This window comes from Homo sapiens, chromosome 11 (assembly GCF_000001405.40).
Source record: "Homo sapiens chromosome 11, GRCh38.p14 Primary Assembly".
Classification (NCBI taxonomy): Eukaryota; Metazoa; Chordata; class Mammalia; order Primates; family Hominidae; genus Homo; species Homo sapiens.
Window position 1 is genome coordinate 62,534,727 of NC_000011.10, and position 18,717 is coordinate 62,553,443.

The 18,717-nt window shown below is 56.5% G+C and overlaps 1 protein-coding gene across 10 annotated transcripts in view, besides 15 other annotated features; it reads right to left on the reverse strand.

The window, feature by feature from the left end:
* The window catches only part of AHNAK (AHNAK nucleoprotein), a 113,263-nt gene extending 101,183 nt beyond the window's left edge, over positions 1-12,080 (reverse strand). For 3 of the 10 annotated variants that reach the window (NM_024060.4, XM_017018270.2, NM_001620.3), the window contains exons 1-4: positions 11,934-12,080; positions 1,743-1,841; positions 1,219-1,372; positions 277-464 (exon numbers count right to left, since the gene is read on the reverse strand). In NM_024060.4, the coding sequence (NP_076965.2) occupies positions 277-464; positions 1,219-1,372 (342 nt within the window). In that variant the 5' untranslated portion in view covers positions 1,743-1,841; positions 11,934-12,080. Of the gene's footprint in view, positions 1-276; positions 465-1,218; positions 1,373-1,742; positions 1,842-10,190; positions 10,306-10,818; positions 10,939-11,017; positions 11,101-11,933 lie in introns of those variants that run through there. The other 7 variants (XM_047427577.1, XM_047427575.1, XM_047427576.1 and 4 more) reach the window with 7 other exon arrangements.
* Positions 598-1,797: an enhancer, noted in NCBI's record as "CDK7 strongly-dependent group 2 enhancer chr11:62302796-62303995 (GRCh37/hg19 assembly coordinates)". NCBI's record gives its function as "activates an origin of replication core promoter dependent on BRD2, BRD4, P300/CBP, MED14 and CDK7 cofactors, with strong dependence on CDK7, by STARR-seq in HCT116 cells {active_cell/tissue: HCT116}" and the evidence as "EXISTENCE:reporter gene assay evidence [ECO:0000049][PMID:35650434]".
* Positions 4,376-4,978: an enhancer, noted in NCBI's record as "H3K4me1 hESC enhancer chr11:62306574-62307176 (GRCh37/hg19 assembly coordinates)". NCBI's record gives its function as "activates a minimal SCP1, AML or CMV promoter by ChIP-STARR-seq in naive H9 embryonic stem cells {active_cell/tissue: H9 hESC(naive)}" and the evidence as "EXISTENCE:reporter gene assay evidence [ECO:0000049][PMID:30033119]".
* Positions 4,979-5,579: an enhancer, noted in NCBI's record as "H3K4me1 hESC enhancer chr11:62307177-62307777 (GRCh37/hg19 assembly coordinates)". NCBI's record gives its function as "activates a minimal SCP1, AML or CMV promoter by ChIP-STARR-seq in naive H9 embryonic stem cells {active_cell/tissue: H9 hESC(naive)}" and the evidence as "EXISTENCE:reporter gene assay evidence [ECO:0000049][PMID:30033119]".
* Positions 6,184-6,443: an enhancer, noted in NCBI's record as "active region_4818". NCBI's record gives its function as "activates an Ori minimal core promoter by ATAC-STARR-seq in GM12878 lymphoblastoid cells {active_cell/tissue: GM12878}" and the evidence as "EXISTENCE:reporter gene assay evidence [ECO:0000049][PMID:35858748]".
* Positions 7,954-8,083: an enhancer, noted in NCBI's record as "active region_4819". NCBI's record gives its function as "activates an Ori minimal core promoter by ATAC-STARR-seq in GM12878 lymphoblastoid cells {active_cell/tissue: GM12878}" and the evidence as "EXISTENCE:reporter gene assay evidence [ECO:0000049][PMID:35858748]".
* Positions 10,587-11,097: an enhancer, noted in NCBI's record as "H3K27ac-H3K4me1 hESC enhancer chr11:62312785-62313295 (GRCh37/hg19 assembly coordinates)". NCBI's record gives its function as "activates a minimal SCP1, AML or CMV promoter by ChIP-STARR-seq in naive H9 embryonic stem cells {active_cell/tissue: H9 hESC(naive)}" and the evidence as "EXISTENCE:reporter gene assay evidence [ECO:0000049][PMID:30033119]".
* Positions 10,752-10,881: a silencer, noted in NCBI's record as "silent region_3411". NCBI's record gives its function as "represses an Ori minimal core promoter by ATAC-STARR-seq in GM12878 lymphoblastoid cells {active_cell/tissue: GM12878}" and the evidence as "EXISTENCE:reporter gene assay evidence [ECO:0000049][PMID:35858748]".
* Positions 11,098-11,608: an enhancer, noted in NCBI's record as "H3K27ac-H3K4me1 hESC enhancer chr11:62313296-62313806 (GRCh37/hg19 assembly coordinates)". NCBI's record gives its function as "activates a minimal SCP1, AML or CMV promoter by ChIP-STARR-seq in naive H9 embryonic stem cells {active_cell/tissue: H9 hESC(naive)}" and the evidence as "EXISTENCE:reporter gene assay evidence [ECO:0000049][PMID:30033119]".
* Positions 11,412-11,531: a silencer, noted in NCBI's record as "silent region_3412". NCBI's record gives its function as "represses an Ori minimal core promoter by ATAC-STARR-seq in GM12878 lymphoblastoid cells {active_cell/tissue: GM12878}" and the evidence as "EXISTENCE:reporter gene assay evidence [ECO:0000049][PMID:35858748]".
* Positions 11,542-11,591: a silencer, noted in NCBI's record as "silent region_3413". NCBI's record gives its function as "represses an Ori minimal core promoter by ATAC-STARR-seq in GM12878 lymphoblastoid cells {active_cell/tissue: GM12878}" and the evidence as "EXISTENCE:reporter gene assay evidence [ECO:0000049][PMID:35858748]".
* Positions 11,872-11,941: a silencer, noted in NCBI's record as "silent region_3414". NCBI's record gives its function as "represses an Ori minimal core promoter by ATAC-STARR-seq in GM12878 lymphoblastoid cells {active_cell/tissue: GM12878}" and the evidence as "EXISTENCE:reporter gene assay evidence [ECO:0000049][PMID:35858748]".
* Positions 12,062-12,231: a silencer, noted in NCBI's record as "silent region_3415". NCBI's record gives its function as "represses an Ori minimal core promoter by ATAC-STARR-seq in GM12878 lymphoblastoid cells {active_cell/tissue: GM12878}" and the evidence as "EXISTENCE:reporter gene assay evidence [ECO:0000049][PMID:35858748]".
* Positions 12,187-12,717: an enhancer, noted in NCBI's record as "H3K27ac-H3K4me1 hESC enhancer chr11:62314385-62314915 (GRCh37/hg19 assembly coordinates)". NCBI's record gives its function as "activates a minimal SCP1, AML or CMV promoter by ChIP-STARR-seq in primed H9 embryonic stem cells {active_cell/tissue: H9 hESC(primed)}" and the evidence as "EXISTENCE:reporter gene assay evidence [ECO:0000049][PMID:30033119]".
* Positions 16,445-17,250: an enhancer, noted in NCBI's record as "H3K27ac-H3K4me1 hESC enhancer chr11:62318643-62319448 (GRCh37/hg19 assembly coordinates)". NCBI's record gives its function as "activates a minimal SCP1, AML or CMV promoter by ChIP-STARR-seq in primed H9 embryonic stem cells {active_cell/tissue: H9 hESC(primed)}" and the evidence as "EXISTENCE:reporter gene assay evidence [ECO:0000049][PMID:30033119]".
* Positions 17,251-18,056: an enhancer, noted in NCBI's record as "H3K27ac-H3K4me1 hESC enhancer chr11:62319449-62320254 (GRCh37/hg19 assembly coordinates)". NCBI's record gives its function as "activates a minimal SCP1, AML or CMV promoter by ChIP-STARR-seq in primed H9 embryonic stem cells {active_cell/tissue: H9 hESC(primed)}" and the evidence as "EXISTENCE:reporter gene assay evidence [ECO:0000049][PMID:30033119]".

Sequence of the window (18,717 nt, forward strand, 5' to 3'; positions counted from 1 at the left end):
CTCCTAGCATCTAGGGCCGGGCTGCACAAGTCAGTTCCCATACTGTGGCCGCTCTGAAGAGACTGATTGAAGACATTTAGAGGGAGCACAGCCACATGTCACACGAAAGCGGAAAGAAACAGGGTGGCCAAGGGCTCAAGAGAGTGAAGACAGGTGAGAGGAGAAGAAGGAGCAAAAAGAGAGGGTCCGGAGGCACATGGAAGGCTCAGGAGTGGGGTCAGCAGGCCGGCATGGCCGGGGGAGCTCAGGGCACAGATGGGCCGGCGAGGTACTCACCAGAACCACTTCAGAGCTGCAGGAGCTGAAGACTTCACGGGTCCAGGTCTGGCCAGGCTCGGGAGAGCGGTCCCCCTTGCGGTGCAGCTTCAGGCCCACCGTGTGGTGCCCCATGGTGTTCAGCAGCTGGGTCACCTCACCCGACTGCAGGTTGTCAAAGTAGATGGTGGCACCCACAATCTGGTCCCCTGAGCAGGGAAGAGCAGGAAGCAGGTAAGGCCCAAAGAGCCTCAGGGAAACCGCACACAGCCACCACACACTGGGCACTGAACTGACTTGAACTCATGACCACCCTGCAAGGTGGGCATGGTAATACCCATTGTACAGACACGGAAACTGAGGCTTAGAAAGGCCAATTTGTGGGGGCCAGGTGCAGTGGCTCACACCTGTAATCTCAGCACTTTGGGAGACCGAGGCAGGTGGATCGCCTGAGGTCAGGAGTTCGAGACCAGCCTGACCAACATAGAAAAACCCCGTCTCTACTAAAAATGCAAAATTAGTCTGGTGTGGTGGTGCATGCCTGTAATCCCAGCTACCCTGGAAGCTGAGGCATAAGAATCGCTTGAACCCAGGAGGCGGAGGTTGCAGTGAGCTGAGATAGCGCCATTGCACTCCAGCCTGGGCAACAAGAACAAAACTCCATCTAAAAAAAAAAAAAAAGGCCAACTCATTTGCCCAAATCTGCAGAGCTAGTGGGTGGTGGAGTCAGATCTGAGGACCAGGTGTCCACTACCCCACACAGCTGCCTCCCCTGAGGACCACAAGTGACAGACACAGAGTGGCCAAGGGAGGGCAGGGCTTGGGTACCAACCACCCTGATGCCACTGGGAATGGGCCCTCGACAGCCACTCACCCACTTCTGCCTGCTCCCTGCCCTTCCCTCCAACACCCCCACCGACCCCCCAACCACCAGCACCCAGTCCACACCCTGGGGTGACTCACCCTCCTTGACCACCCCAGTGCGGGCCGCAGGGGAGTTCTGCGTCACCTCCTGCACAAAGACGCCGTCGTCCCTCTGGGCGATGGTCAGCCCGTGGGAGCCACTACCCTGCCAGTTGGGCAGCAGCAGCTCCCGGGTTGTCTCCTCCTTCTCCATCTGGAATGAGGTGAGGAAATGGAACTGGGGTCAGTGGGGGTGGGAGGACATGAGGGCATGGGAAAGCTAGCAATCTCTGGCGCTGTGAACTCCAGGGAGTGGGGCCCTCAGCAATGCACCTGCCCCTGCAGCTGGCTCACCTGCCAGGTGAGGTGTTGGGGGTGGGGTAATTCGTCTCACGTCCTTCCACTGTGGAAGTTCTCCCAAGGCACAGCAAAGAAGATGGAAAGGAGACAGCAGAGGCAACTGGACCCGGAGGTAGCTGGCCCTTCATCCCTGTCCCCCACGGCCCCAGCCTCCCATCCACACAGGGCCCACCCTCCCCACATCCCGTCACCTCCGCCTCTCTCTGCCTCTCCCACCTACTGACCTTTGCAGGATTCCGCTCAGGAGCGAATGCCTTGCCAGGAGCCCGCCCCTCCTTCCTCTCTTCCCCTCAGTCTCTCTCGTCGGGAATCTCGGTCACAACCTAGGGAAAAGTTCACGATGATGCTCGCACTCCGGTCGGCAGTCTGCTTGCTCCAAGTCTCTACCCAAGGGATAGCCAGGTCCTCTGCTACCCAGGCCAGCTCAGAACCCGACCCCCACCACCGCCGTCAATTCCACTCGTCCATGACTCTCCAGCCCGGCATAGCAGAAAGGGGCTTCAGAGGAGCCAGACTTGCAGTCAGATCCTGGCTCTGCCTCCTTCTAGCTGTGGGACCCTGGCCAAGACACTTCAGTTTTCTGAACCTCCATTTCCTCATCTGTGAAAATGGAGGCAATAAAGGAGAAAAAATAGAGCACTGGCCGGCAGGAGCCGCTTCACATGCACACTCTTGCCACATTCTTTTTATTTATGTATTTTATTTATTTTATTTATTTTTTTTTTTTTGAGACAGAGTCTCGTTCTGTTGCCCAGGCTGGAGTGCAATAGCGGATCTCGGCTCGCTGCAAGCTCCACCTCCCGGGTTCACGCCAGTCTCCTGCCTCAGCCTCCCGAGTAGCTGGGACTACAGGCGCCCGCCACCATGCACCACACCCGGCTAATTTTTTGTATTTTTAGTAGAGATGGGGTTTCACTGTGTTAGCCAGGATGATCTCGATCTCCTGACCGCATGATCCGCCCGCCTCGGCCTCCCAAAGTGCTGGGATTACAGGCGTGAGCCACCGCACCTGGCCTCTTTTTATTTTTTTGAGACAGGGTCTGGCTCTGTCACACAGGCTGGAGTGCAGGGGCGCAATCACGACTCACTGCAGCCTCGACCTCCTGGGCTCAAGTGATCCTCCTGCCTCACCCACCCAAGTAGCTCGGACCACAGCCACGTGCCTCCACAACTGGCTAATTTTTGTATTTTTGGAGAGATGGGGTTTTGCCATGTTGCCCAGGCTGGTCCGGAACTCCTGGGCTCAAACAATCCCAAAGTGCTGGGACTATAAGCAGGAGCCACCACGCCCAGCATCTACCCACATTCTCAACCACAGCTTCAAGAGGGAGATGTTACTGTGCCAATTTCACAGACAGAGACTGAGTCTCTGAGAGAACAGCTTACCCGGGGTACACATGAGAGCACAACTATGCTGGGCTTGGACCCGAGTCTGTAACTCCTTTTTTTTTTTTTTGAGACGGAATCTCACTTTGTAGCCCAGGCTGGTGTGCAATGGCACGATCTCAGCTCACTGCAACCTCCCCCTCCCAGGTTCAAGCAATTCTCCTGCCTCAGCCTCCCGAGTAGCTGGGATTACAGGCGCCCGCCACCATGCCCGGCTAATTTTTTGTATTTTTAGTAGAGATGGGGTTTCACCATCTTAGCCAGGCTTGTCTTGAACTCCTGACCCTGTGATCCACCCGCCTTGGCCTCCCAAAGTGCTGGGATTACGGGCGTGACCACCGCACCCGGCCGACCGAGTCTGTAAGTCTTTTGCCTACTCCACCCCAGGTCTGCTGCTTGTAACAGGTGGGAGCCTCCTCAGAGTCTGCCTCCAAGCAGGAATGTCAGTGTTCCACCTCCCTCAGAGACAGAGACTTGGGCCACCCAGTCTCACCCAGTACCCAGGACCAGGGGGGTGCCTCACCAGCTGGCAGCTCTGGGAGCCCTGCCACAGGCAGCTGCCTGAACAAAGGAGGCCCCGGCCCCACCAGGCACCGCCCAAGCCCCAGAGGTTAGAGCCCAGCTGAGCCCACCTTGGCCCACAGTGAGTTCAGGCCTCCCGGCTGCCACACCAGGCCCTGAGCCAGGCCCTTATAGGTGCAAGCATTTAGTAATAAATTCGCCCTCCAGCCACAAGGTGAGCTGTCATCTGCAGGTGCCCTAGAAAGACACCAGGCAGGACTCTGCATAGGGCCACGGACTACAGCCACAGCACAAAATGGCGGCAGCAGCCACCAATTGAAATGGTGTGGGGGACACTATAAGTCATGGGGAACCTAAGCCAAAGCCCCGCCTACAGCCGTTTACATCCGGAAAGTATCAACAGTCAATCAATGCATGTATACCGGCTGCCTCCATATGCCCAACACTATACTTTGCACTACAGACGGAACCAGCCAGGGATGGACACAGCTGGGCCCAGCACCTAATTACACGCTGCGTTAGACGGTGACCTCACATCACTCACGCACCCATGTGCCAGACAGGGAGATTTAAGACTCAGTTCCTGTCACAGATACATATGATGAGCAAAGTGCACTAGCTGTGACCGATTTTGCCGCAGAATATTCCAGAAGGCTTGGGAGCCTTCTAGGGGAAATGAAATATACATGGGGTCTTGAAGGTGCTACAGGTGACCTCTGAGGATGAGACTATGTCTCTTGGGAATTCGTGGGCACTTAGCAGTTCCTATCTCAGGCAGATCACAACACGGATGAAAGAGAAACACAGACCCCAGCCCCCGACAGCCATCCTCCTGTTTGACAACGCGGTGTGGACAATGTGTCTCCTTGTCAACACAGGTGCTGGCTACAAGGTGAGCAAAGACTCTGAGCCTCTGGGCTCAGGTGCAAACTGGCGAAAACACCTCCTCCCTTCCGGCTGCAGAGAAGGCTGCGACAGGAAATCACTCTGACCCTTCCCAGCAAGAAACAGCAAAGCTGGGGCTTAAATGGCACATTCTCTCCCACTGTCCAGTGCTCAGGAGCCAGCCCTGCAGAAAAGCAGCCAGGCAGAGGCAGGGAAGGAAAACAGATTCCAGACTTCATCTCTCAGACAGAACTGAAGCCACTCCTTCAGATCGCCCAGACACCCCTGTCCTCCTCCTGGAGCAGGGCCCCTTTGCTCACCCCAGCATCCTGGTGCTGTGCCAGCAGCCAGCGAGGGGGAAAGAGCTAGCTGGGCCAGCTCACCCTCGCCCACACCTCGGCCCCACCCTCCCGCCCCAGTGAGTCACTGCAGCTGGCTGCAACAGCTCCAGACCTGCAAAGGGTTGAGCCTAAAACCCCAAGGACAAAGTGCCTCCTGGGCCAGACCCCCAGGTGCCAGAGGAACCAGGGCTGCCCTGCAGACAGGCAGTTGGCTTCCCTGCCAGGGCCTCAGGCAGAGTCCCAGGGCAGAAGTCCCTTTTGAGGCCCAGGACAGATGCAACCTACGTGGTTCCTGAGGAGGGGAGAAACCATCCTAAGTAGACACCGATCCAATAGCCCGTGAGGACGGGAGCCATTGGACCCGAAGCTGCAGGTTGGCCCTGGCAGGGCACCCAGTGGCTTCCCGGCCAGGTGGGGCTGCCAACCACCCTGCCTGCTCTGGCTGTGGCCCTGCTGTCCTGGCACAGCCTGGAAGGACTCCCCTCTCATCTGACCTGGGCCATTCAGTTCCGCGGAAGGGCATGGAAATACTGAAGGGAATACTGAAGGAGGGGCGTGGGATACTGTGTAGCCAGGTTTCCCATTCTCTGCATTTGGGTCCCAGCCCTCAGTCTCTCCTCCACCTCTGGAGCCTGTATCAAGCCCAAGTGGTCCTTTCTTCTCCTCCCACACAAGTTAGGTTAAGTCAGGCTTTCCCTGGAGGCTGAGGGCTCTGCCCTGTTGCTAGCCAAAAGAAGGTCTTTGGAGCTTTGGGGAATTCTGCACGATTCAGCCAAGTGCCATAAGCCTTCAGAGCTAGGAGAGACCTAGAGTTGTGCCACCCAACGCAGCAGCCACATGTGGCTATTTAAACTTAATCAATTAAAATTCAGTTAAATTAAAATTTTAGCTTTGGCTGCACTAGCCACATTTCAAGAGCTCAACAGCCACATGTAGCTACTGGCTACTATATTAGCGTGGACACAGAACACTTCCCCCACTGCCGAGAGTTTTATGGGATGGCACTGCCTGTTACTTAAGGATGGAGAAAGTAAGGTCCAGAGAGGTGAGAGAATGGGAGTGTGCTGGGACCCTAGTCCCAGAGCCTGCTAGCACACAGCCCGGTGGTCCACCCAACAGCCTCCCTCGTGATAGCAAGAAGCGGGACAGAGCTAGGCGTGGTGGCTCATGCCTGTAATCCCAGAACTTTGGGAGGCCAAGACACACTGATCGCTTGAACCCAGGAGTTTGAGACCAGCCTGGGCAACATGGCAAAACCCTATCTCTATAAAAAATAAAAATGTATTTTTTTTAAATAAAAAAAGAAGGAGCAGGGCCAGAGTGGAGACCCCCTAAGGCAGAAGACTGCTTGGAGGGCAGAAAAGAATGAGATGGCGAGGCCGCTCCAGCTGCAAAGGTGAGAGCACGTATGCCTGACGCTGCGGGACAGACTGTAATTCAGGCCAGAAGCAGCAAGAGAACAGCCCATCCTGTCACTTCAAAACTGCAAAGAGGATGTGCCGAGCAGCAGGGCTCTGCCCATACCCTGCAACTGGGGACAACGCCAAGTAGACGCAGAACTCCAGGAAGCAGATTCTTGACCCCAGCAGATGGCCTCTGCCAGGGGTGACCTCCAGAGGAGCCTCCTTCCTCCACTGCCCTCGGAGAACAGTGCCCCTTCCCCGGAGGAGCCAGTATAAAGACAGCCAGGATGGAAACCGGGCCAACTGCTGCAGCAGCTAGAGACAGCCCTGCAGCCAGCGTCAGTGTGGAGATGACAGGAATTGAAACACACACTCCCCCAGAGACAGGCCACAGGCCTCAGTGCCCAAATGCACCAAACCTGAGGACAAGATACACACCACAGGGGCCCATGACTGTGCATCCACCCAGCACAGGCGGGACACAGGAGGCAACCCTCCGAGGGGAAGAAAATCACCCCATCCGTGGTAGGGAGGGTACCGGCCACAGTGAAACTTCCGCCCAGCATGGCAGCACGCACATAGGCCAATCGACCCACCACACACACAAGGCCAAAGAGAAGCAGTCCTCATCCCAGGAACAAAATGACTCATGCCCAGAGTTAGAGACCCCTACCAGAGGGGAAGCCCCCAACATTCGGAACCAGGAGGAGAGGGAGGCTATTCAGAGAGACACACCCAGAAGACAGTATGGTCTGCTCTCATAAACACTCAACAGGAGGCAAAGAGGAACAGAAAGTTCCATGTTGAAAGAAAAAAAAACCCCACACACAAGTAGAAAGAGAATTCTGCAGAGCGCTCTGATGTGCCAGGGACTGTGTTGGCAACATCCCATGCCTGGGGTCTCATTCAACTCCCAAATGATGATGCTATGTCAAAAGAATTAATATCCTTATTTCAGAGAAGTGAAAGCAGGCCCAAGAGATAAGATGACTTGCCCAAGTGTGAGACAGAGTTGAAATGCAAGCCCAGGAGTCTCTGACCCCCAAGGCCCTTGTTCCAAAGGAACAAGGGTGACATCCCTTCCAGGGCCTGGCCCTCTGAATGGACCCCCGAGGATGCAGCTGCCAGGCTTGTTTAGGAAAAAACATTATGCCACATTCTAACCGGAGCAGAAGTGCGCAGACATCTCAGAGTCTAAGCTGGCATTAACAACTTTTACAAACCCACCTAGCTGATTCTGGGCAGTGTGCAGGGAGGAGGGGCAGGTTAGGGAGGTGGAATTACCAGGAAGAATTAGATGAACATGTTGCAAAACACATGCAACTTGGGCACCTTCAAAGAAAGGCACACAAGCACACACACACACATACACACCATTAGTACACGGAGACCCTCAGCCCCATTCTCCACTCTACACAGCCCAGGGCAGCCTGCAGCCCCAGCCAGCCTTCACCGGCTCACAATAGACAGTTGTCCTGCAGGTCCCTATGCCTGTTTACCTGGCACCTGTGTCCCTTGAGCCTGCACCTCCCCTTGTGTGTGTGCACCTGCCTGGCCTCCTCCCTGCTCCCTGCCCTTAGGAGAGGGAGGCGCCAGCCCAGCCACAACTCCCACCAGGAGGAAGTTTTTCCATCCTTGTCATTCCAGCCCTCCCCTCCCCATCACCCCCTTCCCCTGGCCCCTCACATCATGCTGACTTCCAGGGCAGCCCTTACACCCCAACCTCAGCCAGCTGGTTGCTTTCTGACTCTGCTGTGACGCCTTTCTCCATCTCTCTCTACCCCAGCCACGCACAGCCCCATCCCATGCTACAGTGAGCTTGGAAGCCCTGAAGCTCCAAGCTCTCACTTCCAGCAGCGAGGGAGATTCCCTCTTCCCTCCCTGGCCAGGAGGGACTCTGCAATCCTTGTGAAAGGGGGCTGGGGACAGCCTATGATCCAGTGGGGAGTCCCCACACCTGGACACAGAAGCAGGGAAGAGTGGGCCTTTACCCAGAACCACTGGGATTAAGACACCAACTCTGAGGGTGGCGTCCTATAGGAGAGGGGGTGGAGCAGAACGCTTGGTCTTGCCCTGTGGGGTAGATTACAGTTTGGAAGCTGCCTGTCTGCCCCACCCAAGGCCGGGATCTGGGGAGGGCGCTGCTTGCTCTCCCCCCAGCGGTCGGACCACGCTACTGCAGGGGCGTGGGGCCAGGCCGCTCCGGCTCTGTCGCTGAAGAGCTACCCCCGAGCCCCGCCAGGACACGTAGCTGTAGACGGGATCAGCTCCAGGCACTTCCCCTTCCCCCAGAACCTCCGCTCCAGCCCCCGGGGGACCGGGCAGGATGCCCCTCCCTGACAGGCCGTGTGCAGTGCCTTGCTTAGCCTGCTCAGCTGGGGCCTGCACCCCCAAGGCTGTCCTCAACCTCCCAAAGGCTTCTGGACACAAACTGCGCGTGCGGACATGTCCAGGACCGAGAAACTCACTTCAGTCCTTACCTACAACCCCTACGGGCCCGCAGGAAACCTCCACCACCAGAGCAGAATGCCACTGCCATCCTCTGCCTCCAAGCCCGATGACAACGCAGGCAGAGGTGACACATCCAGGCACGCCACAAGGGGAAGACCTTCATTCACAACCAGTGGGATACTCTCTCACAGGCAATGACACACATCTCACTCAGAGACAAGCTGTGACATGGTGGTCACAAGGACCTAAAGCCACAGTGGGACGACACCTGCAATGCTATCAGTGACCTACCTAAGACTGCCAGCGACAGCTCAGCCACAGCCCTGGTGGGAACTGAGGCCAGCAGGGAGGAAAAGGGGCTTCATTCCTTCGGAATCCTCTTGTGGCCCACCCACGTGCCCCCCACACTCCCTCGGGCACACCCAGGAACGCTGGAAATTGCTCGTGCTCAGGAAGCCTTGGGAGTCCCACCGGATGGCCTGAGCCCAGGGAAATGCCAGCCTGGATGAATCGATGGGGGACGAAGAGAAGTCAGAAGGCCCTCCATCCCTGCCACTGCCACCGCCCAAGCAGCACATTCTAAATCCTCCCCAGCGGCCATCACCCTTCCTCAAACCTAAGCGTGCACAGCACGGTGCCAGCCCAGCTCCGGGGAGAGAAACTTTGGGGCCTCGGGAATGGTGGGGGAGAGAGCCACACTGTTCCCATAAGGAGTAGGACTAGCTCTCCCGGTCTGTCTCTCTGTCTGTCTCCAGGCAGTTCCCAAGTTCTAAAGAAGGTGGTGACCACACCCCAGAGCCCCACACACCCCTCCGCCCCCACGGCTTTGCCCCAACCCCTCAAACCAGCTCCTCAGGCTCAGGGTGACCGGCTCTGCCAGGACCCACCAGCCAATTCCAAGTCGAGCAAAAGAATCCAGCCTGGCAGCACCGCCACCTTTCCCCAGGACTTCCTGAGGGCTAAGATGACTCCGGGGACCCCCAGCCAACTCCGTACCCTGGGCTGACGCTGGACCTTCTCCCTCAACAGGTCCCTGTGTCCCACCCCTGGCCCTGGACCATGTCTGGCTGCCACAAGTCCTCAGCTCCGAGGGGTTGGCTCCTCAAGGAGTTCCCGGACCAGGACCCCTGAATCGCTGCTGTGGGCCTCCATATCAGCCCGCATGACTTATGTGGCTCCCCATGTGTCCCTGTTCTCTGACCAGTGTCCCTGTGCATAACCTCTTAGGGACAAAGGCTTTAGAGAGGGGCTCAGACACCCTCTAACCCACATTCCCACAGCCCCCAAACCCTGCGACCTCTCCTAGCTCCACTCTTACCCTCCCTAGCTCCTCTCCCACCCTCCCTCACCCCAAAGCTCACAGCTCAGAGCAAAGAGGTGCCCCTAACTTGGGGGCTCCCCTGTCCTCCCCATTCTGCACAGGCCACTATCCACGCGGTGGGGGGTGGGTGACCCCGCTGTCCCTAAGGACTGGAGAAGGAAGCTTCCCCCCATTCAGCTTCTGAAAGGAAGTGAGTGCCACACCCTGCCCCTGGGATTTCCCTCACGGGGAGGGGATGAAAGCGAGATCTCTACCCTGAATTACAGCCAGTATAGGTGCAGGGGCCCTTAAACGCCTTCCCCCACTCTCAGCTTCACTGCTGCAGCCCCTCACTGTATTCCACAAAATCAACCCAACACCTACCATGCACTAGGCTGTGCTGGGACGGGCAAGCAGAGAGCAGGAGCCCTGCAATCCGAGGTTGGATTCTAATGAAGACGGGTTCGAAACCAGTATTTACTGAGCGCCCAGCGCTGTGCTGGAGACACAGAGGTAGATATCTCGGTCCCTTTTCCTCCGGAGACTCCGGAGGTCTAAGGACCTGACTGACTTGGGAGGCTCCCACACTGCCTTTCCACAAATCCCCTCCACAGAGCAGGGCACTCTGCAGCGACCGCACGCTCCCTGGGAGCACCTCACTGCCACGGTCGCCGCGGCGGGAGCCACACCCTGCGAAACCGGCAAGCACACACATCGCACACAACCCTCAGTGGCCTCATTGTGCAGAGGGGCCAGAGCCGTTCCCCACCTTGTTGTGGGGCCTCGGCTACAGCTGAGAACACCCATCTGCCCCCTCCGCACCCCTCCCAGCAAGGGGCACAGCCAGCCCTGTTTGGGCCCCTGGAGTCCCTCATGGTCAGCGCCGCCAAGGGGCTGCGCCCCCACATCCCGGCCTGGGCACTGCTGGGGGGCGACCAGCCCTGCCAGGGACGGCCCAGGCCCTCGCACACTGCACACACACACCCCCTCCCCTTGCATGGGAAAGCCTTACATAACACAGCTCTGCACACACCCTAAGCACGCTGCCTTTCCAACTCTAGGCGAGACCTCGCTTCGGGCCCCCTCTCCTGGCGCGCACCGCTGGAGCGCAGGGTTCCAGCGAGCGCAGCTTAGCCCTCCTCCCACGCCAAGCCCGGCTCCTGCCCCCAACTCCCACACACAGCCCCTTCCTCCTCCCCTTTGCCCCTCACCACTCCTCCCTGAGTTCTGGTTTGAATTAGTCACCGGCTCCAACCACCACATTCCTCAGGCTGCTGGCGCCGGGCCAGGCTCTGGGGCGGGGGCCATCCCGCCCGGACGGGTTTGGGAGTTGGGCGGGGGGAAAGCGCCGCCTCCGGAGGGGAAGGGGCGGTCCCGAGGACTGGGCCGCCGCAGCGCACCCCCCTCCTCGCCCACCTCAGCATAGGAATCTCCCTAATTTTGTCCCCCTCCCCACCCATCCCGCTGGGAGGCGCATTGCAAACTTCCAGGTTCCGCGGCCCGAGAGGAAGGTTTTCTGGAGCGGGGAACGCGGAGAGGCAAGGCTAGGGCGGGGCAGCTGGAGGAGGCTGAGGGGCTGGTGGTACAGAACAGGGTGGGGCCTGGACGACTCGGGACGCGGTTAGGGGCAGAGGTGCAGGGAGCGCGGAAGGACAGCCGAGGGGGCGCACGGTGCGGGGTCGCGGAGGCGCGGAGGCGCTGGGGGCCGCGGTGGCGATCTCGGAAATTTCCCCTCCAGTAAACATGGGATACGAACGGAGCAGCCCCCGAGCCACCGCCCCATGCAGGGAGAGGAGGTGGGACAGAGGCCACCAGGCCCGGAACGGGGCGCCCTGCCTTGCAGTGGAGCCAACAGTCCGCCCTCCGGAGAAATAAAGAGTGGAGCAAAGCACTTCGGAGCGATTTTCCAACTTTAACCAACTTGCGCCCCAACTCCAGAGGCAGAACTCCGCTCCCAGAGAGCGACGCGTCGCCGCCCCGGGTGGCCCCGCTTGCTCCAAACTGCTTGAATCCTCACAGTGACACCCCCAACAACGCGCCCTGCCGGAGCACCGCAACCCACCTCCCCGCGACCCGCCCTTGGTGCCCCGGACCCCGATGGCGCCACGGTGCGCCTGGCGCCCCTACCTGAGGGCTCAGCCCCAGGGCACGGCCATAGCCGGCGCGAGGCCCAAGGCTGCGGTGCTGCGGCTACTGGCGGCGACGAGCCCCGTTCCGGGCGGGTCTGGCAGGGCGGGCGGTGCAGTCCCCGCGGCAGAGCAGCTCCGAGTGGCCGGGCCCCCGTGCGCGGAGGCGGCTCTTGTAACTCCGGCTCGGGCGGGCGGGTCTGCCCGGAGCTGTGGGGAGAGGGCGGGGCCGGGCGGGGCCGGAGCGGGGCTGGGACTGGCGAGCGGGGCAGACCCTGGAGGGACCCGGGAGTGGGCTGCTGGGGAGGGGGGCCGCTGGGGGACGCGGGGACATTCTTTCCCCCCCTCCCCGCATCCACTGCCCCCTGTCCTGTCCCGGACCTGGACCTGCTCTCCAACATGTGCACTGTGTGGCTTCATTGGCAAGAAACTCCTGCAGGCTCCCTGGGCTCACCCTCACAGCTGGAACTGCGAATCAACTTATTTTGCAGGAAGGGCCTGGGGGCTCTGAAGGTGGCTGGGTGATTCAGCCGCGACCGTCAGCTTGCTCCGGACCTTTGAGTTTTCTCTCAGCTTAGGCAACTACACTTCAGATCCCAGGCCCCAGCCTCCTTGCTTGGTTCCCAAGCTCCGTGCTGCCGCGCCCATTTCTCGCGTTCTCTCTTTCTGGGGGCCCCTCCGTCCATATCCGCACAGAACTGGCTTGGATTTCCACCCCCCAGGAGCCGGGGTCACCAGTGCCTCGCGCACCGCGGTGCTGCGCAGGCCGCGGGCATACGGGGGTGAGGACCCCGGGCGTTGGACAGCGGACCCGACGCCCACCTTCCTCTCCAGACTCCCGCCCCCAGGAGCCAGAGCCCCAGCGCTTCCTCTGCCTCCCATTCCTTCTCTGAGCGCCGCCCCCGCCTCCCCACTTGCGGGACGCTGAGTCTCCTAATTTACAGCGATTTCCCACAGCCACTTCTAACTACATCGAGATTTTATTAAACGTTTAATGATGGGGTGCGGGGGCCTTCTGGCTACACACTCCCCTCCACACTCCCTTTCTCTTCTCCCTCATGAGTCCTTTTATCCTCCCTCCTAGGTGGCCACCCACTGCCCGCTCCAAGCCAGTTTCCCCTCCTTCCCAAATGCTAAGGAAAGAGAGACCCCAGGCTGGGGAACTAAGGAGACCTGGCCAAGGCAGGAGCGCCCTCCTTGCTGCAAGATCATGAGTGGGCTGGAGCTGAGACCAGCTCGGCCCTGTCCTCTGAAATGGCAAACATGTTTACAGGCTAAAAATACCCAGCAGTCAACTCTGCTGCCAGCCCTGGGGGCTGTGTCCAGGTCCAGTTACCGGCACAGAGTACAGGCCGTGGGGGAGGGAAGAGACAGCCAGAGGAACCACAGACATGGGCACTCATATAATGGACACAGAAAGGTGGAGCCGCATGTGCAGACATCCAGACAGGCAGAGACATGTGAAAACACAAAGCGGAGACTTGGGCACCAGCATTTTCTCTTGCTCTCTCTAATACACACACACAGGTGCCCAGATAATGACTCAACCCCATGGCAGAGGCAGCCTCGCCACAACACATCCCAAGCACACAGTCACAGACTCACACTTTCCCAAGAATCACCTGCTCCCCCATTTTGTTCTGCACCCCTTTCCTAGCACCTACCTTATTTAAAGAAAAAACAAATCTAAAACTTTTGAGCTATAGAACACTTAAAAAAAAATTACCAAGGCCAGGCGCGATGCCTCACACCTGTAATTCCAGCACTTTGGGAAGCCAAGGCAGGTGGATCACTTGAGCTCAGGAGTTCGAGACCAGCCTGGCCAACATAGTGAAACCCCGCCTCGACTAAAAATACAAAAATTAGCAGGGCATGGTGGCGCAGCCTGTAATCCCAGCTGCTCGGGAAGCTAAGGCAGGAGAATCCCTTAAACTTGGGAGGCAGAGGTTGCAGTGAGCCAAGATCGTGCCACTGCAGTCCAGCCTGGGTGACAGAGCGAGACTCCATCTCAAAAAAAAAAAAGTACAATAAAACACAGACTTCTCCCTCCTCCCCTATCACAGTCCCTCTTCCCAAAAGTAACCATTGTTAACAGTTTACCAAAGGATTTTTAACTTTATGGAATGAATCATCATCTCGTTCCTTGAAAGAGCGAATGTTCCCAGTGCATATTAAAACAGGAGTTGATTCACACCTAGGTTGGAAACACAGGGTATCTGCAAAAAGGGCTAAGGGGGCGTGGGGGGCTGCTAGAGCAGAAAAGGAAGAAGAGCACGGAAAGGCGTGGACGCTGTGTCTTCGCCTCGACTGGGCTAGATCGGCCCCCCAGGATCCAAACAGCAGAGGCCAGAGTCCCAGGCTCAGAGCCAACTTATCTGCTCCATTGTTTGTTCTGGCCACCCTCTTGGTCAACAGGGAAGAAGGCAGGAGGGAGAGGTTGGTTTTTGAAGCAGCCCCAGAGCAGAGATCACTGACCAGGTACTTCATTCAGGGATATGAATGTCAAGATTACCTGGTCGGGGGGTAGTTCTGAGGACTGGCTCTTGTCCCATTCCAGACTGGAGGGCTAGAGAAGGCTTAACCTCAACCCTACCCTCTAAAAAACCATGATCCTGACCGGGGGCGGTGGCTCACGCTTGTAATCTCAGCACTTTGGGAGGCTGAGCGGGGGCAGATCATGAGGTCAAGAGATCGAGACCATCCTGGCCAACATGGTGAAACCCCGTCTTTCCTAAAAATATAAAAATTAGCACTTTGGGAGGCCGAGGCAGGCGGATCACCTGAGGTCAGGAGTTCAAGACCAGCCTGGGCAACATGATGAAACCCCGTATCTACTCAAAATACAAAAATTAGCCGGGCATGGTGGTGTGCGCCTGTAGTCCCAGCTACTCGGGAGGCTGAGGCAGGAGAATCGCTTGAACCCAGGAGGTGGAGGTTGCAGCAAGCTGAGATCGTGCCACTGCACTCCAGTCTGACAACAGAGCGAGACTCTGTCTAAAAAAAAAAAAAATGATCCTGCAGGCTGGAACAGAGCTGGGGTTTCCTAAGACTGCCACCTCAGCCCAAGGGAGGGGAATATTTTCAAAAGTTTTCAGTGGTGTTAAGTGGAGAAACGCACACTTTTAGAAACTTCTGCCAACTCTTCTCCTTCTGCCCGCTGGTGTAGCCTCCCCCACACCCCCTCCCAAAACTACCTTAATATGATTGTGTCTGATCCTGCAGCAGCTACTTTCGTTGGTTTTTTTTTTGTTTTGTTTTGTTTTGTTTTGTTTTGTTTTTTGAGAGGGAGTCTCGCTCTGTTGCCAAGCCTGGACTGCAGTGGCGTGATCTTGGCTCACTGCAGTCTCCACCTCTGGGTTCAAGTGATTATCCTTCCTCAGTCTCCCAAGTAGCTGGACTACAGTCGTGTGCCACCATGCCTGGCTAATTTTTGTATTTTTTAGTAGAGATGGGGTTTCACCATGTTGGCCAGGGTGGTCTCGAACTCCTGACCTCAGGTGATCCCTGCCCACTTCAGCCTCCCAAAGCGCTGGGATTACAGGTGTGAGCCACTTTGTCAGGAGCTACTTTCATCTGTCAGCTCATTTAATCCTTGCACACCCTGGGAGGGAGGCACTTAGTGAGGAATGGTCTCAGAAAGGGTTCGTGATTTACCTAAAATCACACAACTCACAGAGGCAAGAGTCAAAGCTTCCGCTAGCATTTAAGCCTCATGAGGACAGGGTTCTTTCTTCTCTGCTGTATGCTTTGTGCCTAGATTAACTGATTTTTTGTTTTGTTTTGGTTTTTTGCTTGTTTTTTTTTGAGACAGTCTCACTCTGTCGCCCAGGATGGAGTGCAGTGGAGCATTCATGGCTCACTGCAGCCTCAACCTCTCAAGCTCAAGTGATCCTCCCACCTTAGTCTCCCAAGTAGCTGGGACTACAGACACACACCATCATGCTCAGCTAATTTTTTTTTTTTTTTTTGGTAGAGATAGGGTCTCACTATGTTGCCCAGGCTGGTCTTGAACTCCTGGGCTTGAGCAATCCTCCCACCTCAGCCTCCCAAAGTGCTGGGATTATAGGTGTGAGCCACCGCACCCTGGCCCCTCATGCCTAGAGCACTGACTGACACATAGCAATCACTCAAGAGCATGTTTCAAATGAATGAATGAACTCCAGGTATAACTGGCTCCAAAGCCCTTGCCTTTTCTACAATAGATAGCATCCTGCATCCCAGGCTGTCACAACTTCCTCTGGCTCTCAGCCCCCAGGGAGCAATTCCTCTACTTGTGGGTCTTTCTTGCAGCTACCCAAACATTTATTGTGTGTCCAATATGGGGTTGGGGAACTGTGGTGGTGGTGGAAGCAATAGAGACCTTGGCAAGATGGAATCCCAGCAAAAAGCTCAGTCCAGGCGGAAACGGCTCCGATACCCCTTTACCTTGTCCTTTGAATTCCTTGGAGGTCCTATGCCTCCAGAGAATTGGAGTTATCTTTCCTACCAGGTAATTTACACAGCTACTCCCCCGCCAGCACCCCCCCGACACACTATGTTTTGGGTGTTTTTGTTGTTTTGTTGTTGTGGTGGTGGTGGTGGTGGTTGTTTTGAGATGGAGTCTAGCTCTGTCGCCCAGGCTGGAGTGCAGTGACACGATCTTGGCTCATCTTGGCTCACTGCAACCTCTGCCTCCTGGGTTCAAACGATTCTCCTGCCTCAGCCTCCCAAGTAGCTGGGATTATAGGCACGCGCCACCACGCCTGGCTAATTTTTGTATTTTTAGTAGAGACGGAGTTTCACCATGCTAGCCAGGCTGGTCTCGAACTCCTGACCTCATGATCCGCTTGCCTCAGCCTCCCAAAGTGCTGGGATTACAAGCGTGAGCCACCACACCTGGCCTGTTTTTTGTTTGTTTTTACACACCATGTTTTATAAGGAGTATTAAGGAGTTCTTTCGGTCCCTACTTTGCAAAGAAAACCTCCATCTTCTCGAAGGTTTAGACTCCTCTGTGATATAAAGTAAAGGCTTTCCTCTTATAAGAGGGAGGTCAGCCCTGCCGCTAGTGCTCCACCACCATTCAGAGGGAGCTGGTACCACAGTGCTCCACACGCACTGCCAAAGCTGGATGAGCTCTAGGACTTGTCATCACAGGGATACCCCAGCTTCCCCAGAAGTGACACTGCCTCCCTGGGGAGTGGGGGAGGTTCCCTGATATGTACCTGTTTTGCGTGTGTGTGTATATGTCAGTTTGTGTGTGTGTGCGCGCGTCTGTAATGAACCTTGGGCTCTTCTGTTGCCAGGCAACCTGCCTCTATTTTGTTCCTATTATGCCTGTTTCCATAGTAACCACAAAGGGGAGCTCTGTGGGCAGGCCCCTGGCCAGGGGATTCCCCTTCCCCTCCCTTCTCTCCACAGTCCCCTTTTCTGAAATCAGCATGTTACAAGGAAGAAAAGAGGTTGACTGCTCAAAGGGTAATCTCAGTTTCTGATCCCAGAAGGCAAATGAAGTGTGTGGTCTGTTTGCAGTCTCTTTAGAAGCAGACTTTTCCCCCCATGAAGGTTCTTTTGCATGATATTCTTAGAAGCAGAAAAATGGGCTGTGCCTGGTGGCTCACGCCTGTAATCCCAGCACTTTGGGAGGCCAAGGCGGGTGGATCACTTGAGGTCAGCAGCTCGAGACCAGCCTGACCAACCTGGTGAAACCCCGTCTCTACAAAAAATACAAAATTAGCCGGACGTGGTGGTGCACGCCTGTAATCCCAGCTACTCGGGAGGCTGAGGCAGAAGAATTGCTTGAACCTGAGAGGCGGAGGTTACAGTGAGCCGAGATTGCGCCATTGCACTCCAGCATGGGCAAGAAGAGCAAAACTCTGTCTCAAAAAAAAAAAAAAAAAAAGCAGCAGCAGCAGCAAAGAAATGACTGTTAACCCTTCTTAGCACCATCTGGGATCTCCCAGACCCCGCCTCCACCCCATACACACACCAGCCCAGGGATTAGCATCCCTGCCAAACAGGCCCTTCTCCATTCACTTCCGTCACTTCCTAATCTGTCATTGTCCACCCCACCCCCCAAAAGCAAATCTATCTGGTGATTCTGGAATCCAAACATTATTTCCTAAGCAATTCTCAAGCCCCAAACCCTTAACCCTAGCCGAAAATATAAAGCCAAGTAAAATCATCCTTCCCCAGCTCAATTCAAATCCCAGCCTGTATTTAAACTTCAAGCTTCAAATAAGGAGTTCCTGAATTTCTTAGATCAGAGAGCTTTGATACACAGAAACTCTCCAATTACACTCAGTCCTAATGAAATCTTCAAGCCCAACCAGAACCCAAGTTAAAGCTGGTTAGAGAACAAGAGACATGAGGCTGTCTCCAGAGTACCGTCTGGGAGGAAAGAAGGCAAAGAAAGACTGTCCAGGCAGGTGGAAGGGAAAGAAATTGGGCAGGGAGAGTGGGGCAGGTGGACACGATGGGTCATGGCTGGATTTCAGGCAGAGTTAGGGGTGTGGGAATGCTGTGGGGCAATAAGAGGAGATGCAGACCTGAGATTAAGGAAAAGAAGCGACAAGACATGAGGCTGTGAAGGAAGGAGGGAGGGAGAGAGAGAAAACAGAAGAGCTCAGCACTGAGCTAAGGACTGGGCGGGCTGAGTTGTAAACAGGAGCCGAGGGAGGGAGTTGGAGTAAACGGAGCAGCCAACGCCCCAGCCAGCTCCCCTCCCCAGTGGGGAGCAGGGAGGGAGGGGCTGAGGAAGCGGGGAACACCACCTCCTCACCCCTTTCTTGGAATCTGCTTTTCTCCT